The sequence below is a fragment of the Homo sapiens genome, chromosome 2 (genome assembly GCF_000001405.40).
Source record: "Homo sapiens chromosome 2, GRCh38.p14 Primary Assembly".
Lineage (NCBI taxonomy): Eukaryota > Metazoa > Chordata > Mammalia > Primates > Hominidae > Homo > Homo sapiens.
In genome coordinates this window covers 73,934,867-73,956,141 of record NC_000002.12, presented here as the reverse complement: position 1 = coordinate 73,956,141, position 21,275 = coordinate 73,934,867, and the positions used below count along the sequence as shown (strand labels likewise).

Below are 21,275 nucleotides of genomic sequence, written 5' to 3'. Positions count from 1 at the left end.
CTTCTTTACCTGTCACACAAAGCTACCCCTCCTACTTCTCAACTGCCTTAGCTCTTCCCCTGGACTCACTGCTTTAGCCAGATTTGACCTCTTTCCTGGGGAACAGGCCAGGCTCTTTCACACCTCAAAATTTTTGCTCCAAATGTTTGTTTTGACTGAATTATCCTCAGTCCTCTCTCTGCTTGACAAACATTTCATTATTCAATATCATCTGTCCTGGAAGAACAGATGGATTAACCCACTGATTTAGGACTTCACTCTTTTTTTTTGAGACAGAGTCTTGCTCTGTTGCCAGGCTGGAGTGCAGTGGCGCGATCTCAGCTCACTGCAACCTCTGCCTCCCAGGTTCAAGTGATTCTCTTGCCTCAGCCTCTCAAGTAGCTGGGACTACAGGCGGGAGCCACCACGCCCAACTAATTTTTTGTATTTTTAGTAGAGATGGGGTTTCACCATGTCGGCCAGGATGGTCTCGATCTCTTGGCATCGTGATCTGCCCGCTTCGGCTTCTCAAAATGCTGGGATTACAGGCGTGAGCCACCGTGCCCGGCCAGGACTTCCCTCTTTCAATAACTTACTTAAGAAATGAAAACTTAATTTCCAAATGTAGTACACAATAATCCCAAAGACTTGGGAGTCTTTGCTGTTTCCCTCTTATCTTACCTTTTCTCTAAGGAAATGAAATTATAGAAACAAATTTTATTAATGATCAAAAGGTATATGCACTTGCAATTATATACTGCCAGACTGCCTCCTTAGAGGTTAACCAATTTATATTCCCACCAGAAAGGTAGCTTTAGGATTTCTAAGCATAGCAAAGCTATCATCTCATTTTCCTTTCTGAGAAAAAAAATGTTGTCTGTTTCGTGAAAATAAATTTTTTTAAAATGTGACTTTATGTTTCCAAGTACACACACAAAGGCAGAACAATTCTTTTTAGGAAAGCTATTTATAATTATTCATTCACTGCTTGCAGACAAACCTTGACACTAACATTGATCTATTAAAATAAGCTAACATATTTCTATTTACTATTAATTTCCTTAACAGAGCAAATGGATTTCCCTGAGAAGTCTAAGTCTTAACTGGTGGCAGTATTGAGTGGGGAAAAAAAAAGAGGTCGAAGTAAACTCCTACTATGAGCATTTGGCATAACTCTTGCTTTACTGATATCGCTATAACAAATTCTATTTAAAAAAATCCCGTGCAAACAGTGCTTTAGTCTGACCCCTCTTCATCTCAGTCCTCATGAGGAAGACACACCTGAATGTGAACAGGAAAGATAGTGTAGCTACAAGTGGCGAGGGAGAGACCCTTTACTGGTCTTCTTAACCTGTCCCACCCAGGAAGAAGAACTGCTGCTCTGCTTGCTTGGAGTCAGAAACAGAAAATGGAAAGTGACTGCTAGTGGGTCTTTTCACTATGCCTCTCAAGCCCAAACCCAGGTGCCATTTGTCCCATGCACCTCCTGCATGCTGTCCCCATGCTGTGCCAGTCCCAGGTAGGGCCTGGCTTTTTGATGTACATTGATCAGCTGCACTCTCTTGATTCCATGGGGCTGGCTAGGAACACTGAGGCCTAGCTATTTCTCTTTTGAGTTTTAAAATTGTTAGCTTGCTTGTGTTTTAAAAAAAATTTTTAGAGATGGGGTCTCCCTATGTTGACCATGCTCGTCTTGAGCTCCTGGCCTCAAGCAATCCTCCCATCTCAGCCTCCCAAAGTGCTGGGATTACAGGCGTGAGTCACCGTGCCCGGCCTGAGTTGCCTTTTCTAAAAAAAAAAATTTATTTATTCATTTATTTGAGACAGGGTCTTGCTTTGTGGCCTAGGCTGAAATGCAGTGGTGTAATCCTGACTCACTGCAGCCTCAATCTCCCAGGCTCAAGTGATATCCCACCTCAGCCTGCTGAGTAGCTGGGAATACAGACACACCACCATGCTTGGCTAATTTTTAAATTTTTTGTAGAGGGCAGGGGGCTCTCACTATGTTGCCCAGGTGGGTCTTAAACTCCTGGGCTCAAGCAGTCCTCCCACCTTGGTCTCCCAAAGTGCTGGCATTGCAGGCATGAGCCACTGCACCCGCCTGGTCCAGTCTGGCCCGGCTTGCTGGCTTTTAAGAAGTTAGGGGGCCAGACGCGGTGGCTCATGCCTGTAATCCCAGCACTTTGGGAGGCCGAGGCGGGCGGATCACGTCAGGAGATCGAGACCATCCTGGCTAACATGGTGAAACCCCGTCTCTACTAAAAATACAAAAAAAAATTAGCCGGGTGTGGTGGCGGGTGCCTGTAGTCCCAGCTACTCGGGAGGCTGAGGCAGGAGAATGCTGTGAACCCGGGAGGCGGAGCTTGCAGTGAGCAGAGATCGTGCCACTCCAGCCTGGGCAACAGAGCAAAACTCTGTCTCAAAAAAAAAAAAAAAAAAAAAAGAAGTTAGGGAAGAATAGGTAGAAAGGAGCAGAAGGACCTACGAAGTCCATCTGACATGCTCGAAACTCAGTATTTACGAGGGCTCTGAACTGGAAGATTGGGCACTTGCACAGCTTTTTACATAGTGACAGGACAACTTCTATTCTGCTCTTCCCTTGGGCACAGTTACCTCTGAATTTCACAGAAGAGGTCAAGTGTGACTTCAGGGAAGAAACATGGGCATTCCTGCATCTCTGGAACTAATGCCATCAAAACAGCATTAAAATCCCCATCTAATCTCAAAATGAATAAGCTATTTTTCTTTTCTGCCATTAAGTTGTAATAATCCTTCAACTCTTCTCATTCTACTCCAGCTGAAATATTTCAATTAGCCTCTCCAAAAGGGCAGATCTGCCCCCAAGTGACGACGACGACGACGACGACGACGATGATGATGATGATCATCATCATCATCATCACCATTTGCTATGGTTTGAGTGTATCCCCCCAGAATTCATGTGTTGGAAATTTGGTCCTTAGTGTGGTAGTGCTGAGAGGTGGGGCCTTTAAGAGGTGATTAGGTTGTTAAGACAGATTAATGCCACTCTCTTGGGACTGGGTTAATTCTCGCCGGAATGAGTTCTCACTCTCGTGGGATTGGACCAGTTGCCATGAGAGTGGGATGTTATAAAGCAAGGCTGCTCCTCCTATCTTGCCCCTTTTGCACATGCCTGCTCCCTTCCACCTCATCATATGATGAGGCAGCAGGAGGTCCTCAATGGAAGTTAAGGCTGCCCAATTTGGACTTCCCAGTCTCCATAACTGTGAGCCAAAATAAGCCTCTTTATAAATTAACCAGTTTCAGGCATTCTGTTATAAGGTCATTCAGAGTGCACAAAGAAGAAAAGCAATTAAGACTTTCTTGTTCTCCTTGCTGGGTCCAACTTCCACTCCCCAGAAACAAGAGCCTCTTCAGCTGGCCCAAGTAGCCCCATTTTACTCCCAGGAATGAGTCAGCCCACTTCCTCTCTCACTCCTCCCCAATGCTGGCTTCATGGCACTGAGCTGAATGTGCTGTTCTCTTGGAAAAGGTTAAGTCAGCATTCTCACTTCTCCTAATGCTCAGCTCGTCCTGAGAACCTCCTGCTTCTTTCAGTCCAGCCATCCCAAGACTCCCATAGGAAACCTGTCACTTCTTCAAATTCCAACCAGGATCTTTACTCAATCCAACCTCACAGCACTCTCACTCCTCTTTGGCCCAGGCCACAAGCCTTCCTGGGGCTCAGGACTTCTCTCCCAACTTGAACCCTACACTTTGACACTTCAAACTGTCCTCTTTGAGAGGGGACTCCTCTCCCCACAATCGCTGACACTAATCTCTACCCCTAAAGTATAATCCCCTTCTTCTATTCTGGCTCTCAGGCAATGAAGACTATTGAAAGAAGTCACATAAACATGACCCACCTTGTCAACTTGCAATCAATGCATCTAACTTTAGTGTGGTTCTTTCCATGGAAGATTATTAGCCCTCTGGCCTCACTGAATCTTTAGTTCAGTTTTATTTTATTTTAGAAACAAGTTCTCACGCTGTCACCTGGGCTGGAGTATAGTGGCACGATCACAGCTCACTGTAGCCTCGAGCTCCTGGACTTAGGTGATCCTCCTGTCTCACCTCCCCAATAGCTAAAACCACAGGCACACATAACCACACTCAGCTAATTTTTAAACTTTTTTGTAGAAATGGAGTCGCACTATATCGCCTATGCTGGTCTTGAACTCCTGGCCTCAAGTGATCCTCCCACGCCAGCCTCCCAAAGTGCTGGGATTGTAGGCATGAGCCACTGCACCAGCCCAGTTTCATTTTAAACTTTAACCCTTATTTATTTCTGTAGAATCTCTTATTCCCTCGTACGATCTAGCTTTTGCCTCAAAATGTCCAGAAACTCTCAACACAAAGATCCCCAATATCTGGCCCCAGTCACATTCAAGGGCCTTTTTTCCTGGTTGCCACCTTCTTAAGGCAAGACCCTTCCTTCCAGTCCTCTCCTCGTTGGCTGGTGTGAGGCTCTGTGATGGGAGCTCTCCCACTCATCCTCTGGTTCTGCTCAGTCTGTTCTCGGCTCCTTTCTGCCCACAAGTCTCAGTTCCATCTCTAAAAAGCATAGCCTCTAGCTTGGAGACAGCTTTCCTTCCTTCTAACAGTATGTGGTATATCTGGCATTTGACTATATATTGGATGTATATCTCAAAAGCTGAGAGCAGTACATCTCTAAAAAAAAAAAACTCACCTTGACTCAGAATCCCACTCCAGAAGAGCCCTTAGAGATCGTCTAGATTGAACCAGTGGATTTTACAGGCAAGGATCTCTCCAGTGGAAAGGTCTCCAGGGGCTGCCCAAGGTCACTACCAGTCAGCAGAAGCCACAGCTCACTTCTATCTCCAGAGACTCTGGTGCTCCTGCCGTGACATCATCCTACTTCATGTAGGATGGCACCAGCCAGAGAGTCACAGAATGGAACTGCTATAGTCCATCCTGCCTTCCCAATGGCATCACAGTTCAAAAAAGGGCTATAAATTAGGGCAGTATCATGATGAGGTGAGAAAATTCTCCTCTTCCTCCTCACATCTTACTAAGGAAACCACTGAGACTACACACTCTGATGACCCAGTCAGAGTAAAGGAGGAGCTGAGGCAAGTGGCTACAGGTCAGAGCGTCCCACCTGCAAACCCTAAGCGTCATCATAAAGATGACACTCGATTTGCTCTGTTGTTCCTACATCAACAGCAATCCTTTTATGCATAGTCAATGGCTTTAGCACTCTGCTACACGAAGCCAGTGGGGAACAGGGTGCTCAACGCTGGGACAGGAGGGTGTCCCCCACTGCTCTCTGTGCTGCAGGTAATGTCTACGCTCTAATCTCTCCAACCAGAAAATCAGGGGCTTGGAGAATGTCACTTCTTAGGTTTCATATGGCCCTAAAGTCTAAGGTTGTAGGTTCAGTGTTACCTGGGGAGAAGCCTGGAGGTAGATGAAGCCATGTAATGTGATCCGGCTGGCAAACTCCCACAGGAGAAAAGAATGCCAGTCCTGATAGATATGCCACTCGATGTCACTGAGGGAACCATTTTCAAAAAGATTCTTTGCAAAGATATACCTGGTTGGAAGTGGGATGGGAATGGGGAGGGCAGGAGAATGGGAAATGGAATGAAAGGCACGAGAGAGAGAGAGAAGCAGAAAAATCAATAACCAACTTGTTCCATGTCTGTTCAAACCACTTAACCTTTCTAGCTCCTCATCAATCCTTAAGAAATCTGAATTCTTAACCCATATCTCCCTCCCTGCTCAGTACTAAGATGGGAAATAGGATCTAGACTTTGGAGGCTGAAATCACACCTTTCCAGATGGATTGATTCACTGGAAGAAAAGAGACAGAAGATAGTATCATTGGTCCCTAACAATTTTCTCTGCTAGAAACCAGTCAGAACATACAGCAAATATATGTAAACTTGAACTTTTGAGATTTCCTTATTATTATTATAGCAAGGCCCAAAACAAATAAACAAGTGAATCCAGTATAAATCCACCCACTAAATTTCATACAAGGACTGAGGGCTTCTAAGTCTCCAGGCTACTGAGCCATCCTTTTGTTTAGCTGAGACATGCAGAAGAAATAGTATTTATGTGGTGTCCTCTATGGAGCAGAAAATGCATTTCCTACTAATTTCAGTATTACTAAGAAAGCAGACTCTCCTGCAAAATGCATTATGAGCTCCTGCTTGCTTGCTTCCTCTGCTGCTGAGTTTCTAGTTCAGATAAAAGAAAGCTAAAGCTAAAAATCAAACCAGCTTTGCCCCCTGCTTATTTCTACAACCAAAAGAGCATCTGGTAAACAGGAAATCAGAGCTAAACATAAACCATGGCTTCAGACAAACCAGGGGTCAATCCTGCTTTCAAACCTCAGGCATTTTAATAAAAAACACAATTTGCATCCTAAGCAAGGGACTCCAGTTTCCAAGGCAATGCTCAGCAACTGGCCACTTTGGAGAAAATAAAATTCAGAACCCTTGTGTATGATGGCTCAGGAAAGTACAGACTGCAAGGCTGTGAGTGTCACCACTGAGAGAATACCTTCCAGAATAACATTTCAGGGTCTGATACTGGCTGAAACATTCACTAGCTATGTAACTTCAGGCAAGTCACCTAAATCCTCTCAGCCTGTTATGATGATGTCTTGTAATAATCCTCACAAAGTGCTTAGAAGAGTGACTGGCACATAGTCTTCTAGATATCTTAGTTATTATTATAACTGCTTTTTGTTAGGCTATGAAGAAGCTAACTTAGAAACTCCACAAGTAAACTTTCCCAGTCTGGAATGGTTTAGCCATAGTCTAGTTGATGAGAACAAATAAAAGGGTAACATTTTAAACTCAAAATGTTTTTGAGTTCTTTACAGATAACTAGAAGATGAAATTAAGATCCTATAAAGTGGCCACGCACTGTGGCTCACACCTGTAATCCCAGCACTTTTGGAGGCTGAGGCGGACGGATCACCTGAGGCCAGGAGTTTGAGACCAGCCTGGCCAACATGGTGAAACCCCGTTTCTACTAAAAACACAAAAATTAGCCAGGCATGATGGCGTGTCCCTGTAATCCCAGCTACTCAGGAGACTGAGGCACAAGAATTGCTTGAACCCAGGAGGCGGAGGTTGCAGTGAGCCAAGATTACACCACTGCACTCCAGCCTGGGCGACAGAGCGAGACTCTGTCTTAAAACAAAAAAGGATCTTATAAAGAGAAATTAAAGATTTGCTAATAAGCCCTATGAAAGGGGTTCTTGGCTTTCTTGAGAAAGAGCACTTCCTTTATTTCTTCAAAGCTTGTGGTGGTGATGGGGTGAGGGGCAGAAGGGTGTGGTGCTGAGTGGGAGGGAAGTACTGCAGACTGAATGCAGGGGCTGCAGGACAGAACAGGGCATAAGGATCTAGGAGTCAGGGCCTCTGCTCTAAAACCATATGCTAATGTTTCCTTTAACTCAAACAGAAAAGACTAAGATTTCTTCCTCGCTATAATCAACTCTCCCAGATAACCTGTGTTCCTCCTTTGGAACAAATATCACACACGTGAGCATGTGTTCAGTCCCTGTTAGGCAGGGACTGGGTCTGCCTTATTCACTGCTGCAGCCCCAGGGCCAGCCTTGGTGCTTCAACACAGGAGGCATCCAATAAATCTGTGCAAGTGAACAAAGTCTAAATTACCCTCGGGATTAGAACTTGTGATTAGTTTTCCTTTCTGTCTCGAAAATGCCCTCACTGAAGATAGCACCTGGAATGTTGTATGCCCACAGTGTAATCAATTATTACCTCTTCCTTTACAAGCAAAGGTTAAGATCCATGCAGCTTCTTAATGCATTTCTAATTAACAAAGTGTTTCTACTTCTCTATTTTCCTCTGAGGGTCTCACACACCTACTTCATGAAGCGGCTAGAAATAAAGACTGACTATGTTTCCAAACAACCCATGTGGTTATATGTAATTCAACTTCGGAGTCCGAGAGGCATGGCTTGGGAGAGAAGAGAGGAAAACAGGCAGGTGGGATATCCAACAGCTGAAAAAGAAGTAAAACCTATAGCCCAGCCATTTGTAATTCACATATTTAGCTTTTATAAAAAGTAGGCTCTCTCGGGGTACGTACACAAGGAACGGATAGCCTATAGGGTTTGTTTTACATATCTTCCATGATTTTAGGGTAAAGTCAGAAAAATCACTTGTCATTTACAAATGTATCCTTATTTTTTTTCTTCTAGGAGGCTTTCCGGAAGCACTAAGAAATAGAACTAGTTTGTCTAATTTGGAATTAAAAGAGTAACCAACTGAGTGTCTTCAGCAGTGACAATGAAAATGTACCACTTCCCATTTTGATAATTCAAAGAGCCTTAAGAAAGATCGTTTTGCTTGAAAGCACTATTTCACACTGACACTGGTCATTCATAGGCTTCAGATAAGAAAAACTCCAGCAGTGTCCAGATCAAGCCATCCTGACTTTGTCTCTAGGCGGCTTAACCTCAAGTCACAGCCTGGTCTCTGCAGCAGAGCCAGGCATTCCGGAGCCTGCACGGCCTAGCTCTTCTGGAGCAGATGGGCTCACTTCCCAGGGTGCTGCTAGCTTGCATTCAAAGTGACTTCACATCTCACTCCCTCAGGTGGTCAGGATGATGCCCATCCCTGATCTGACACAGGCACTGATGTCCACTAGACTCTGGCCAGCAAAAAGCCCTCTCACAGAAGAAGGGGTCAAAAAGGGCTAAATCTGAGACAGAAGCCAGTTTCTCAGATGTGCTATTTCTGCCTAAGCATCCTTTCTTGAACAATAAAAAAAAAAGGCTGAAAATATCTCTTATATCATTTTCAGGAACACAAATTTTAATTTCGTCTGCTTTTTTCTTAAAGGGGATAATCAACCACTGAATCATCTGATTTCTTAGAATATACACTGCTACTTAAGTGTCTATTATGTGCCTTTTAGCATGTGATGGTTACATTAGGTGGCTACCAGCTTGCTCCATGCCAGAAAATAAGGAAACATAAGGTAATCAGTAGCAATGTAAGAAATTCAAAGCATTCAGTTGATGAAAAACCCAATTTCCTTTCTTGACATAGATGACAATCTGGTAGAAGTACAACTCTGGACAAATCTGTATAGTGTTGTCTTTAAAAAAGAAGATAATTTTTCAAATTATAATCATCAGTGACCATAGCAGTGCAGGATCTGTGCAAGATCAAACAGGCAGCACTGAGCATGGGGCTTGTGACTGGTGGAGGGCTTGGCATTTTACCTGTCACTGTACACAGACCTCTCAAAGATCTGTACTGGCTTCCTGGCCTGTAAGAGTTTCTCAGGGAAGGGCTCCAGCTGTACTTTCAGGCGGCTCAAAAAGGAAAATGTCTGGAATGTGTAGGACCATCGTGCTGGCTCCCGGTACATCATATCCAGCAAGTTTCCAAGACTTTGGGCAGTGCAGGCCTAGAGGGAGATGAAAAAAAGAAGAAAATTTCCTAGAAAGCATATTTACTCCATGGGGTACACCCCTCCACACACACCCCTACCTCCCCAAACAGGTTTAATAATCAATGAAAGAAGAAATTACAAAAGTTTCCTTCCACCAAAAAGGTAGAATCAGATCCCCAGCTTAGTCAAAATTTCATAATCAGGTATGAGATTTTCCTACCTATTAAATAAGACTCTCTAAAGGGAGATGACATGCCACTTCAATATAACAAAAGCAGAGGAAGAACCATATATAGAATTAACACGATCACTGATTGAGGGATTTGTGAAGTCTGTCTGGGGAGGAGTTAACAGTCAACAACCATCTAAAATTTAACTCTGAATCAAATCTTTCCACTATAACACTATGTTGCCTCTCTTTTGAGCTTCCATCTGTAGTTATGTTTATAAAATGTCAAGGCAAACCAGAAAGCAACTGCTTATTTGAAAATCCAACCAATCAACCACCAAATAGAATTTTATCTTTCATATAAGGAGTACAATTTGTTTGTTAAAACAAAACCCTACTTAATTCTAGAGACTTTATGAAACATAATTAAAACGTTCCACTTACTCGGCATGTGCAAGTGGGCACAAGTGTGGGATGTTCAGCAGCCCCGGATTTTTTTTTTTTTTTTTTGAGACAGAGTCTCACTCTGCCACCCAGGCTGGAGTGCAGTGGCACGATCTCAGCTCACTGCAACCTCCCGGCTCACTGCAACCTCCGCCCTCCTCCCCACCCCAGCCGAGTTCAAGTGATTCTCCTGCCTCAGCCTCCTGAGTGGCTGGGATCACAGGCACCCGCCACCACGACAAGCTAATTTTTGTATTTTTAGTAGAGACAGGGTTTCACCATGTTGGCCAGGCTGGTCTCGAACTCCTGTCCTCCCAAAGTGCTGGAATTACAGGCGTGAGCCACCACGCCCAGCCCCAGATTCTTTTCTGGATCTGCCATTGACTCAACAATGCAAAAGTGAATTTTGTACAAAAGCACTTTGGATCTGTATTTTTTATTCAATCACCAATCACTGAAGGCCTGTGTGGATGAGGCGCTACATGGGCAGGGTACCGTAAGGGTATAGAAAAAGGAATTAACATTTATTTCAACCTTTACTGTGGTATGTTACCTCAATTAATCTTCAAAACAGCTTCATGAGGTAGGTACTGTTGTAATGCCCATTTTCCAGAGGGGAAAATCCACTCAGAGGTTAAGTAACTTACTTGTGCAAGGTTTCATGGCGAGTAAATGTTGAAGGGACTCAAACCTGGCTTCCTCTAACCTCATCATTCCAACACCCTCCATCTAAAGGTGAACAAGACAGTTCCTGAACTCAAAGAGCTCACAGTGCAAAAAGGAAGAGGGTGATGAGGATGTACGAAGCTGGAATGTAAGGCAGAACATGTGATGAAGGGACGATTACTGATGGTGGAAGGAATCTCAGGGAGTTTCTGAAAGAAAGTGGCATTAAGCTGGGAAGTAACTGATGAGTAGAATTCTCACAGATGGAAATGGAGATTAAGAAGATTGTACTTCAGGTAGAGACAACAGGACAGAAGGAGAAAAAAGATTCAACAACAGTAAGAAGTCCAATTTGGCAAAATAGCACTATTAGATTCCAAAGAAGGGTCTTAGCCCTTTGAAAGGCTTCAGCAGAAACAACACATATAGAGCAGAGTGGACCAGAAAAGCATTTAACTCAGAGGTATTTTCGGGATTTCCCTCCTTCTGACCCCGCAAGCCCACACATACCAGCCTCACACGTGGCCCCTGACTAAGAGCTGGAGGTAGAAGTAGGAGGACAAATTTGTGTCTCCTGTAGTCTCTGTGGTGTCACTAGAGATGGTTGGGAGCAGCCCTGGGCCTGTTGCACAATTCACACACTGTATGTGGAGCGGAGTGCTGTGCTGGCAGATGCAATAGGTTGACTGGTGGGTTCTATTGCACCAGTGGGCTTTGGGCTATCAAAGAGAGACTCTTCTGGAACCAAAAATGTAAAAGAAACCAACACAATTTCTGAAAGAACCCATCTCAGCTACAGAACAAATGCAAACATCCTTCCAAAAATATAAGCAAACAGATGAACAATAATTGGACACAAAAATACTTAGCAATTCAAAAGGAGAGGACTAGTCTCTGTGCTCAGACAGGGCTGTTGTCAGAAACAGGAGAAAACAAAAGATACGGCCTTGCTGATAAAACAAGAATAAGCTATCATAAAAAAGGAACAATAAGAAAATAACTTTCTTAGAGGTGAAAAATGCAATTGCCCAAGTAAAACACCCAATGAAGATAATGAAGATGGTAGCTAGCAGACTGTATAATGCAGTAAACCTAATTAGTGAATTAGAAGATCCTTACAGAGTATCAGTTTAAGGGCTAGGTATGGGGGCTCACACCTATAACCCAAGCACTTTGGGAGGCCAAGGCAGGAGGATTGCTTGAGGCCAAGAGTTCAAGACTAACTTGGGCAACATAGTGAGACTCTGTCTCCACAAAAAAATTTAAAAGTTACCTGGGCATAGTGGTGCATGCCTGTAGTCCCAGCTACTCTGGTGGCTGAGGTGGGAGGATTTGCTTGAACCCAGGAGTTCAGTGCTACAGTGAGCTATACACTTGATCTTAGCCAAAAGGCTGAGAAGCAATGCTGCAGTGAGCTATAATAGGGCCACTGCATTCCAGCCTGGGTGACAGAGTGAGACTCTTTAAAGAAAAAGAAAAGAGTATCAGCTTAAGAAATTCTCCCTAGGGGCTGGACATGGTGGCTCATGCCTGTAATCCCGGCACTTTGGGAGGCCAAAGTGGGTGAATCGCCTGAGGTTAGGAATTCGAGACCAGTCTGGCCAACATGGTGAAAGCCTGTCTCTACTAAAAATACAAAATTAGCCGGGCATGGTGGTATGCCTGTAATCCCAACTACTTGGGAGGCTGAGGCAGGAGAATCGCTTGAACCTGGGAGGCGGAGGTTACAATGAGCTGAGATCGTGCCATTGCACTCTGGCCTGGGCAACAGGAGCAAAACTCCATCTTAAAAAAAAAAAAAAACCTGAATAACTGAGGCAGAAAACAGTTGTCCAATAATGATTCCCCTCAAACAGTACTGAATCCATATAATCTTAAAGATGATTTCTATCATACCTTCAAGGAATAGATCATTTCTATGCTAGAAAAGATGCAAAATTTCTCCATTTATTTTCATAACATTGATGGTAAAACCTGTCACAAACTACACATGGGCCAGGCATCACAGCTCACATCTGTGGTCCCAACACCTTGGGAGTCCGAGGTGGAAGGGTCGCTTGAGCCCAGGAGTTCGAGACCAGCCTGGGCAGCAAAGTGAGACCCTATCTCTACAAAAAAAAAAAAAAAAAAATTTTTAAGTAGATGGGGACAGTGGTATGCACCTATAGTCCCAACTCACCAAGAGACTGAGGTGGGAAGATACCTGAGTCCAGGACTTCAAGGCTGCAGTGAGCTATGATCATGCCACTACACTCCAGCCTGGGTGACAGAGGAAGACCCTGCCTAAAAAGAACCCAAAAGTCAAAACAAACAAAAATCACCATACACACAAATAATAATACCAACCAACTGTATAAATAAATATACATGCAAAATTCCAAACAACACATTACCAAATTAATGGAATAGTACATCATGACCAAAAAAAAGTTCATTCTAGAAATGTGAGGATGGTACCATTATTAAATCTATGACTAATACTAAGAGATTAAAAAGAAAAACCCCTTGTTTATCTCACTAGATGCTAAAGTGGTTTTTGATGGAAATTCAACATTTGATCATGATAAAAACAGTTACTATTCTAGTAACAAAAGGGTACGTGTACCACACGGTCTACTGAAATGAATAATAAACATTAAACTTAACACTGATATATTAGAGGCAGTTTCATTAATGACAGAACAAGATAAGGAAACTACCCTCACTGCTATTAGTTTATATTGCTCTGGAAGTTCTACCCAATGAAAGAAAACAAGAAAATAGAAATGTGGCACAGATATTAGAAAACTCTTTCAAATGATTACTATTTAGAGACAACTATTATTTTCCAAAACTTCAAGCAAATAAAAAAATAATGAGAAATTAAATCATATAAGATAAATATAACAATCAACTGTTTTCCATTAAAACAGCAATAACCAGTTTCAGAAGATGATGTGGAAAAAAGATCTCAGTCACAATAAAAACAAAATATATATTCTGCTCAGGAATAAACAAGAATACTACTGGCTAAGTAGATAACCATTTGTGAAAAAACTAAAGTCTTATAACTTGTAAAGCCACATAAAACATAAAACCATAAAAGCAACAAAAAGAAATAGATTATTTTTATACTCCTGGGCTACAATTTTAACATCAAAGGTGCTAACTATGAGGAAAAAGAAGGACAGGTTAGACTACATAAAAACTGAAATGTATTATATTGTAAAAATATATTATATACCAAGATAAAAGAAAAATGACATGGTCGGGCGCAGTGGCTCACGCCTGTAATCTCAGCACTTTGGGAGGCCAATTCAGGTGGATTACCTGAGGTCAGGAGTTCCAGACCAGCCTGGCCAACATGGTGAAACCCCATCTCTACTAAATATTCAATAATTAGCTGGGTGTGGTGGCAGGCACCTGTAATCCCAGCTACTCAGGAGGCTGAGGCAGGGAGAACTGCTTGAACTCGGAAGGCAGAGGTTGCACTGAGCCAAGATCACACCACTGGACTCCAGCCTGGGCGACAAGGCGAGACCCCGTTTCAAAAAAAAAAAAAAAAAGAAAATGACAAACAAATATATGACAGAGTTAATATACTTAACATACAATGAGTTTTTATGAAGCCATTACACAAAGATGAAGATCTCAATAGAAAAAAACAAGGCAAGGGGTTTGGACAGGCAATTCACTAAAGAACAAAAAGATACACAAAACATGGCTTTATATTAAAAAACAAGCAGTATAGCTACAATGATATTCATCATTGCAACACTGCTTATAATAGGAAGAAATTAGAAAACTAAACATTCAAAATAGAGGACTGGATAACTAAATGATAATATTCATATTATGCAGTACACTACAACCATTAAAATGATATCACTGTGAAAGGGAGATCTTGTCTATTAAGTGACATACAGGTGGCAATCAAAATTTTTGTTTCAAAAAGCAAATGTATATATATTTTATACATTTATGTAAGTATATGTAAATCTATACATTTTCTCTGTAGAAAAATGTCCATTTTACTTCTGAATAATGGGATTACAGGATGATTAGTTATCTATTGCTGCCTAACAAATTATGCCAGAATTCAGTGGCTTAAACAAAAACATTCATTATCTCAGTTTCTATGGGGAAGGAATTTGGGAAGGAGCTTAGCTGGGTGGCTGGGCCTCAGGGTTTCTCATGAAGTTTCAGTCAAGATGTTGGCTGAGGCTACAGTTGTATGAAGGCTGGACTGTGGCTGAAAGATCCAATTCCAAAAAGACTCACGTACCTGTTCACAGGAGGCCTCAGTTCCTTCCGTGTGGCCCCCTTGAAAAGGCTGCTTCCTGACATGGCAGCTGGCTTCCCCCAGAACAAGATGGAAGCTACAGTGTCTCTTATGACCTACCCTAGAAAGGTATTTCTTATTTTTGCTACTTTCTATTTACTAGAAACAAATCACAAAGTCCAGCTGCATTCAAGGCAAGAATTACGCTCTACTTCTAGAAGGGAGGAATATCAAACAATTGTGGACATGCAATCATGTACCACTTAACAACAGGAATATGTTCTGAGAAATGTGTCGTTAGACAATTTTGTCACTGTGTGACCATCAGAAAATGTACTCACACAAACCTAGATGGGATAGCCTGCTACACACCTATGCTATATGACACACCCTATTGCTCCTAGGCTACAAAGCTGTATCGCATGCTACTGTATTGAATACTGTAGGCAACTGTAACACAATGGTAAGTATTTGTGTATCTAAACATAGAAAAGGTACAGTAAAAATATGTTGTTATAATCTTATGGGGCCACCATTGTATACAAGGTCTATCATTGACAGAAACATCATTATGCAGCCCATGACTGTATTTTGAAATACACACAGGTGACCTGTGGCATACTCAGAAAAAGATATGTAATTTATTCCTGCATAGGAAAGTTAATTTCACAAATACACACACAGGCACACATACAGACATATAAAGAGACAACTTAAGCAGCAAAAATCCTCAATAGGCATGATATGCCAGCCACAAAAGGTAACACAATTCTGGGTTGGAATAAAAAAAAATGGCACCCAGAACAAGTTCCATGATACTCTGTCCCACTTAGACTACATCCAGAATGTCCTGTTCACCTCCAAGTAGCACTCTTAGTAAATTCAAAGTGGAAAGTGAACAAACTAGGACTCATCACTTAGGTAAAGTTACTTCAGAGTAAAGAATAGCCTGGAGGAAAACTGGAGGTGTTTGGCTTGAAAGAGAGAAGACTTGACCAGGCATGGTGGCTCATGCCTATAATCCCAGCACTTTGGAGGCCAAGGTGGGTGGATCACTTGAGCCCAGGAGTTTGAGACCAGCCTGGCCAACATGGCGAAACCCTGTCTCTACTAAAGATACAAAAAGTATCCCAGCATGGTGGCATGCACCCATAGTCCCAGCTACTCAGGAGGCTGAGGCATGAGAATCACTTGAACCCAGGAGTTGGAGGTTACAGTGGGCCGAGATCACACCATTGCACCCCAGCCTGGGTGACAGAATGAGACTGTCAAAAAAAAAAAAAAAAGGAGAGAGACTTGAGGGGGAGAAAGAACAGGAAAATCATTACCTTCAACTATATATAGGGTTGTTACGGCGAAAAGTTAAAAGACTTAAGAGGTAGAACTTGAACCAATGAGTCAGAGTCACAGGGGTGCAACATGGCTCATTAAAAGGCAGAACTGTTTAGTAATTAGAGTTAAGAACCAGAATGTGCCACTCAGTGAATATCCCAGGTGGCGGCAGGAGCAGTTCATGGTGCCTGAGGAGGCATGGTGCTTCTGCTCCCTCTAAGGGTCATGTCGAAACAAGTCTTTCCTTACTCAGACTGATGTGGCTGGAAACCAACTCTATGGCCTCTGCCAAAGCCATAGTCTTGACACCAGGGCCTAAGCCATGAGGTGTAAGTGAAATGTACTGTGCTTGGCATAGTACAGTGCCTGGCACATAGTACATGCTCATAAATGTTAGCTGTAACCTCTCCCATTGACTCAAAGTGTGACTGGAACCTCTCTAATATCCCTTCTAATTTCTAAGACTTTATTTAAAAAGTTAAAATCACTATAATTAGCTATTAATCCTAGTGGTTAGCTTAAGTAATAATATAAATACTTAAGTGTAGGAATGACAAAATTCATCTTCAAAGCCATCCATGATGGTTGGACATGCTTTGGGAAACCACAAACAACAGAGGCAGTCACTTAGATAGACATATAAAAACCACAAAAATCAAAACTGCACATATTCAAACAAGTCATATCCTCTCTGGTGTATGTGGTCTGCTTTCTGGAATGAAGCTATTTTAAAAAGGATACTCAAACTGGGCTACTTTACTCACTGAGAGTAAATTAAATTATGACAATTAGATTATTCACCCATGCCTGCCAACTACCCACCACAACTAAAAACTTACTTTTTGGGTGCCAGCAGCCTGGATATTCTGCCATGTTGCTACAGGTTCTGTAGCTACGTGCCATTCTGGGTAAGTTTTCGTGAGTAACTTCACAAACGTGGACTTTCCCACAGCTGCAATGCAAATAGCATGTATTGGGATGCTTCCCAAATCAGGGCTGAAGGAGAAGGCTGCTACTAAACTCTGCCACAAACGCCCAAACTCAAGGGAACAAGTATTAGTTTTCTGAATTTCAAACTCAGCAGCCGTACCATTGTCAGACTGATAACAGATCAATTCATGCTAACCAGAACCACCATAATGAATACAGCCAATAGGGAGGAAAAATTCCTTTTAAGATTTAATTTGCAATTTCCATGTCTCAACCTTCCAGAGGCAGAGCATTTAATAACAGTTGAAAATGTAAAAGTAGATGAAATCAGCTCCATAAGTTCTATCACTTGAGTCACCATTCTATTTGTACTGTGACAGTGTAAAATTTCTAAGTTTTTCAAGACAAAAAATAAAAATGATTATAATCTCATTCATTCAACAAATCTAAAAAATATTCATGGAGTGCTGACTATGAGCTCAGGACTGTCAGGAACTGTGGGTACAATGGTAAACAAAACACAGAATGGATTTTGTCGTCACAGAGCTTGTATGGGTGATACAAACGCACAATTAACTACTAACATATTGTGTTAGGTGCTAGGAAAAAATGCAGGATGGCACTAATATAGCCCAGGAGGTCAGAGGAGACTCCCTTGAAAAAATGACATCTGAGGTAAGACCTAAAAGATGACAATTCATGCAAAGGGAGTAGCATATGCAAAGACCTGAAAGAGAGAAAGAACTTGACACACAACAATACAGAAGTTTGAGGCCCTAGAAGAAGCCATACAGTATGGCTACAGCATGAGCAAGTGATGGAGAAGTGGCTCAACATGGGTGTGGCCAGACAGGGAGTCCAGGGCCAGGTCATACAGGGCTTTGTAGTTATGGTAAGAAGACTGAATTCTATTCTAAGGGCAATGGGAAGTTAGTGAAGATTGGTTTTAAGTAGGAAAATTATAAGACTCCTTCTCATTTTTAGAAGATCACTCCACTAGCTGTGTAAGAATGGGCTGAAGCAGAAGCAGGCAGACTAGTTAAAAGATATAGCAGCTTGCCCCGAGGTGATGGCAGAGGAGTGAAAAGTAGTGGTTGTTTCGAGAAATATTTTGGAGATGAAATCAACCTAGTACCACAACATTCAAGTTATCTTTTCCCATTTATACCAATGTTTGGCCCATACCTCCATGAGCTCCAGAGACTATTCAAGAACTCTCCAGACATCTCCACTTGGGACATTCCACAAACACCTCAAAGTCAACATATTTCCTAAATGAACTAATCATCTTTCCCACCAAATTGAGCTTCCTCCTGTATCCCAGACCTCAGGGTATGAACACACCATCCACTCACTGACAGAAGTCCCTCCTCTGCCAAACCTCAGTGGCCACCAAATCCTTCTGCATTTGCTTCTACATTTTTCATATTTGTCCTTTTCTCTCCATTCCCACCTCCATGCTCAAGACCAGCCTCTTATCATCTCTTGCCTTTCTGATGCTGGCCTTGCTCTCTTCAATCCATGCTCCATACTGTGGCCAGACTGAATATGAAATAACACTGCTTACAATCTTTTGACAGCTCTCTATCGGCTAACTGGCTATAGCAAGGGCAAGCAATGGAGGAGTGGCTCAAGATGGGTGTGGCCACATGGGCAGTCCGGGGCCAGATCACATAGGGCCTTGTGGCCATGGTAAGAGGTCTGAATTCTATTCTAAGTGCAATGGGAAGTTAGTGACATCTGAGCTAAGACCTGAACAAGCTTCATGACAAACTCCAAACTCTTTAACATGGTCTGCAAGACACAAGAAGATCTGATCCCTGTGTATGCCTCTCTGGCCTTGGCTTTCCTTTAGGTAGCCTACCCTCCTGCAGGACCAAACTCCAATCATGCCATGTTCTCTTGCAAATATGACTTTGCATATGCTTTCCCATTTCCTGAAGCGCCTCCTCTCCTCACCTGACCAACTCTTACTCAATCCTCAAGGTTCTGTTTAGATGAACCTCCTGTGTGAAGCCTTTCCAGATCCTGACACCTCTAAGCTGGATTAGCTAGTCCTCCTTTCTGCATGGTTGGTATTCTGGGTGAGACTCCATCACTGCAATTGTCATTGTGTTTCTCCAGCTACAGGATGGGGCTCCTCCAGGGTAGAAAACAAATTACAACCTAATGACCTAGCTGAATGAATAAAATACACAATATATTACTAATTTCAGTTCCCTCTGAAACCTACATTTGTGAAAAATAAAAAATAAATCTTAAGACTGTATCTGGACCTCAATCTCCTCTATCAGAAGTAATCTTTCTCAAGGGAAAGAAGGGGGGCATCCTTCCACTTATGGTTACTGATTGGGGTGCTGATGTCTCAGCATAAGAACCCACACATTTAATAGATGACATTTACTACATGCCACCCCAACTCCTCTCTGAATAGGCAGGATAAGAACAAACAGCATGAATCTGTGGATTTGTACAGTCACGCTCATCTCTCAGTCCCCACCTCCACCTAACTTGTGTGTGCTTCTTCACATCTGTTCGATCCCTGCTCTTCCCACACTCCAATGAATAAATGCCCTCCCCTGCTCTTCCAGGCCTGTGTCTAAATCCTTTCCCCCAGCAAGCCTAAGGTGCCACTTCTTCAGGACTTCTCTAGCTCTGAATTCCTACCACACTGGTCAGGTGCGAAGTGGTTGAATGTGTATATTATCAGATACCTGTCTGCCCTGAGTAAGCCCTCGCTTAAAATATTTGGCCCAGATGGTCAATATTTAGATTGTAGGTTGTTTAACAAGTCTAAAATATGGTCCCTGCTATTTAATAGCTAAAAAGCTATTTTAATTAAATGAAAAGATAAACGTAGCTGATTTGTTAGATGGCTGGGATTGAACAATTGTTAGAATTACTTATATTTTTTAAAAGTTAAAAACAATTACCTTAAAAAACTGTTGCAGATGGAAAGGAAGGGCTCTGAGGTCAGACACTATTAGTTCATCTAAGAGCAGTCAGGACTCCAAGAAATTGACTCATGCAATTTAAACACATTAATTCTAGAATGCCAACAAATTAGATGTAACAGGAAATATACAGTTCCAATGACTGGAACAATAACACCTAATACTCAGGGTACTCTGTAACCCATGCCCCATTCCAAGGCTTCTGGAAAGCTAGTTTAGTAATCACAAGGCAGCTTCAGCATACAATGACAGTAAATGGTGGTGAAATGTCCTGAGAGCTGTGCCATCCATGTTTCTCAGCCTTGGAGAGCCTGGGTAATTCACTACAGGGCAGTATTTCTTAAACTAATTCCACTGGAACTGAGCTGTGCCAGGTACCACCCACAGATGTGGAATAATTACTTTAAAAAATAATTCAAAGTTACATGGTTTTATTAAAGCCAGACACAGTATAACTTTCTCAGTGCTGTGATACCTGATCATCATAGATTTTTTTTTTCCCTTCTTGCTGGGGTGTTGTTTGTTTGTTTGTTTTGACAAATGTTTCAAGATGTTCACAGGGGGTTCCTAAGAGTGGTGGTGTTTTGCTCTCCATTGCTTCAGAAGCCTCCTCCTAGTGACCAGAACACCCCTGTCTACAGAAAGCCATACTTCTTCAGCCAATCTCTTATGATATCACTATCTCAGACTTACTGCAATTTAGTTAGATCCCAGCTTAGCTGCTATCTTTCCTTTTGAGATGGGGGTCTCTCTCTGTCACCCAGGCTGGAGTGCAGTGGTGTGATCTTGGCTCACAGCAACCTCTGCCTCCTGGGCTCAGGTGATCTTCTCACCTCAGCCTCCTGAGTAGCTGTCCAGTATGTTTGACCTGTCCAATATATTGTTTGTTTATTTATTTATTTTTGAGACAGAGTCTAGCTGTTGCCCAGGCTGGAGTGCAGTGGCACAATCTCGGCTCACTGCAACCTCTGTTTCCTGGGTTCAAGCGATTCTCCTGCCTCAGCCTCTTGAGTAGCTGGGACCACTACAGGTGTGTGCCACCACGCCCGGCTAATTTTTGTATTTTTGGCAGATACAGGGTTTCACCATGTTGCCCAGGTTGGTCTCAAAC

The 21,275-nt window shown here is 42.6% G+C and overlaps 1 protein-coding gene across 16 annotated transcripts in view, besides 1 other annotated feature; it reads right to left on the bottom strand.

Annotated features, from left to right (window-relative positions):
- DGUOK (deoxyguanosine kinase) overlaps positions 1-21,275 on the bottom strand; it is a 32,067-nt gene that overhangs the window by 2,805 nt on the left and 7,987 nt on the right. For 3 of the 16 annotated variants that reach the window (NR_134894.2, NM_001318861.2, NM_001318860.2), the window contains 2 exons: positions 9,236-9,423; positions 5,410-5,557 (listed from right to left, as the gene is read on the bottom strand). The exons of 1 other annotated variant lie outside the window; for it this stretch is intronic. Coding sequence is in view for 10 of the 15 variants with exons in the window: in NM_001318861.2 (NP_001305790.1) it covers positions 5,410-5,557; positions 9,236-9,387 (300 nt within the window). In the remaining 5 variants the exon portion in view is untranslated. Of the gene's footprint in view, positions 1-5,409; positions 5,558-9,235; positions 9,424-17,119; positions 17,233-21,275 lie in introns of all 16 variants that reach the window. 12 more of the 16 variants (NM_080916.3, XM_047443585.1, NM_001318862.2 and 9 more) reach the window with 9 other exon arrangements.
- Positions 18,305-18,804: an enhancer, noted in NCBI's record as "H3K4me1 hESC enhancer chr2:74164465-74164964 (GRCh37/hg19 assembly coordinates)". NCBI's record gives its function as "activates a minimal SCP1, AML or CMV promoter by ChIP-STARR-seq in naive H9 embryonic stem cells {active_cell/tissue: H9 hESC(naive)}" and the evidence as "EXISTENCE:reporter gene assay evidence [ECO:0000049][PMID:30033119]".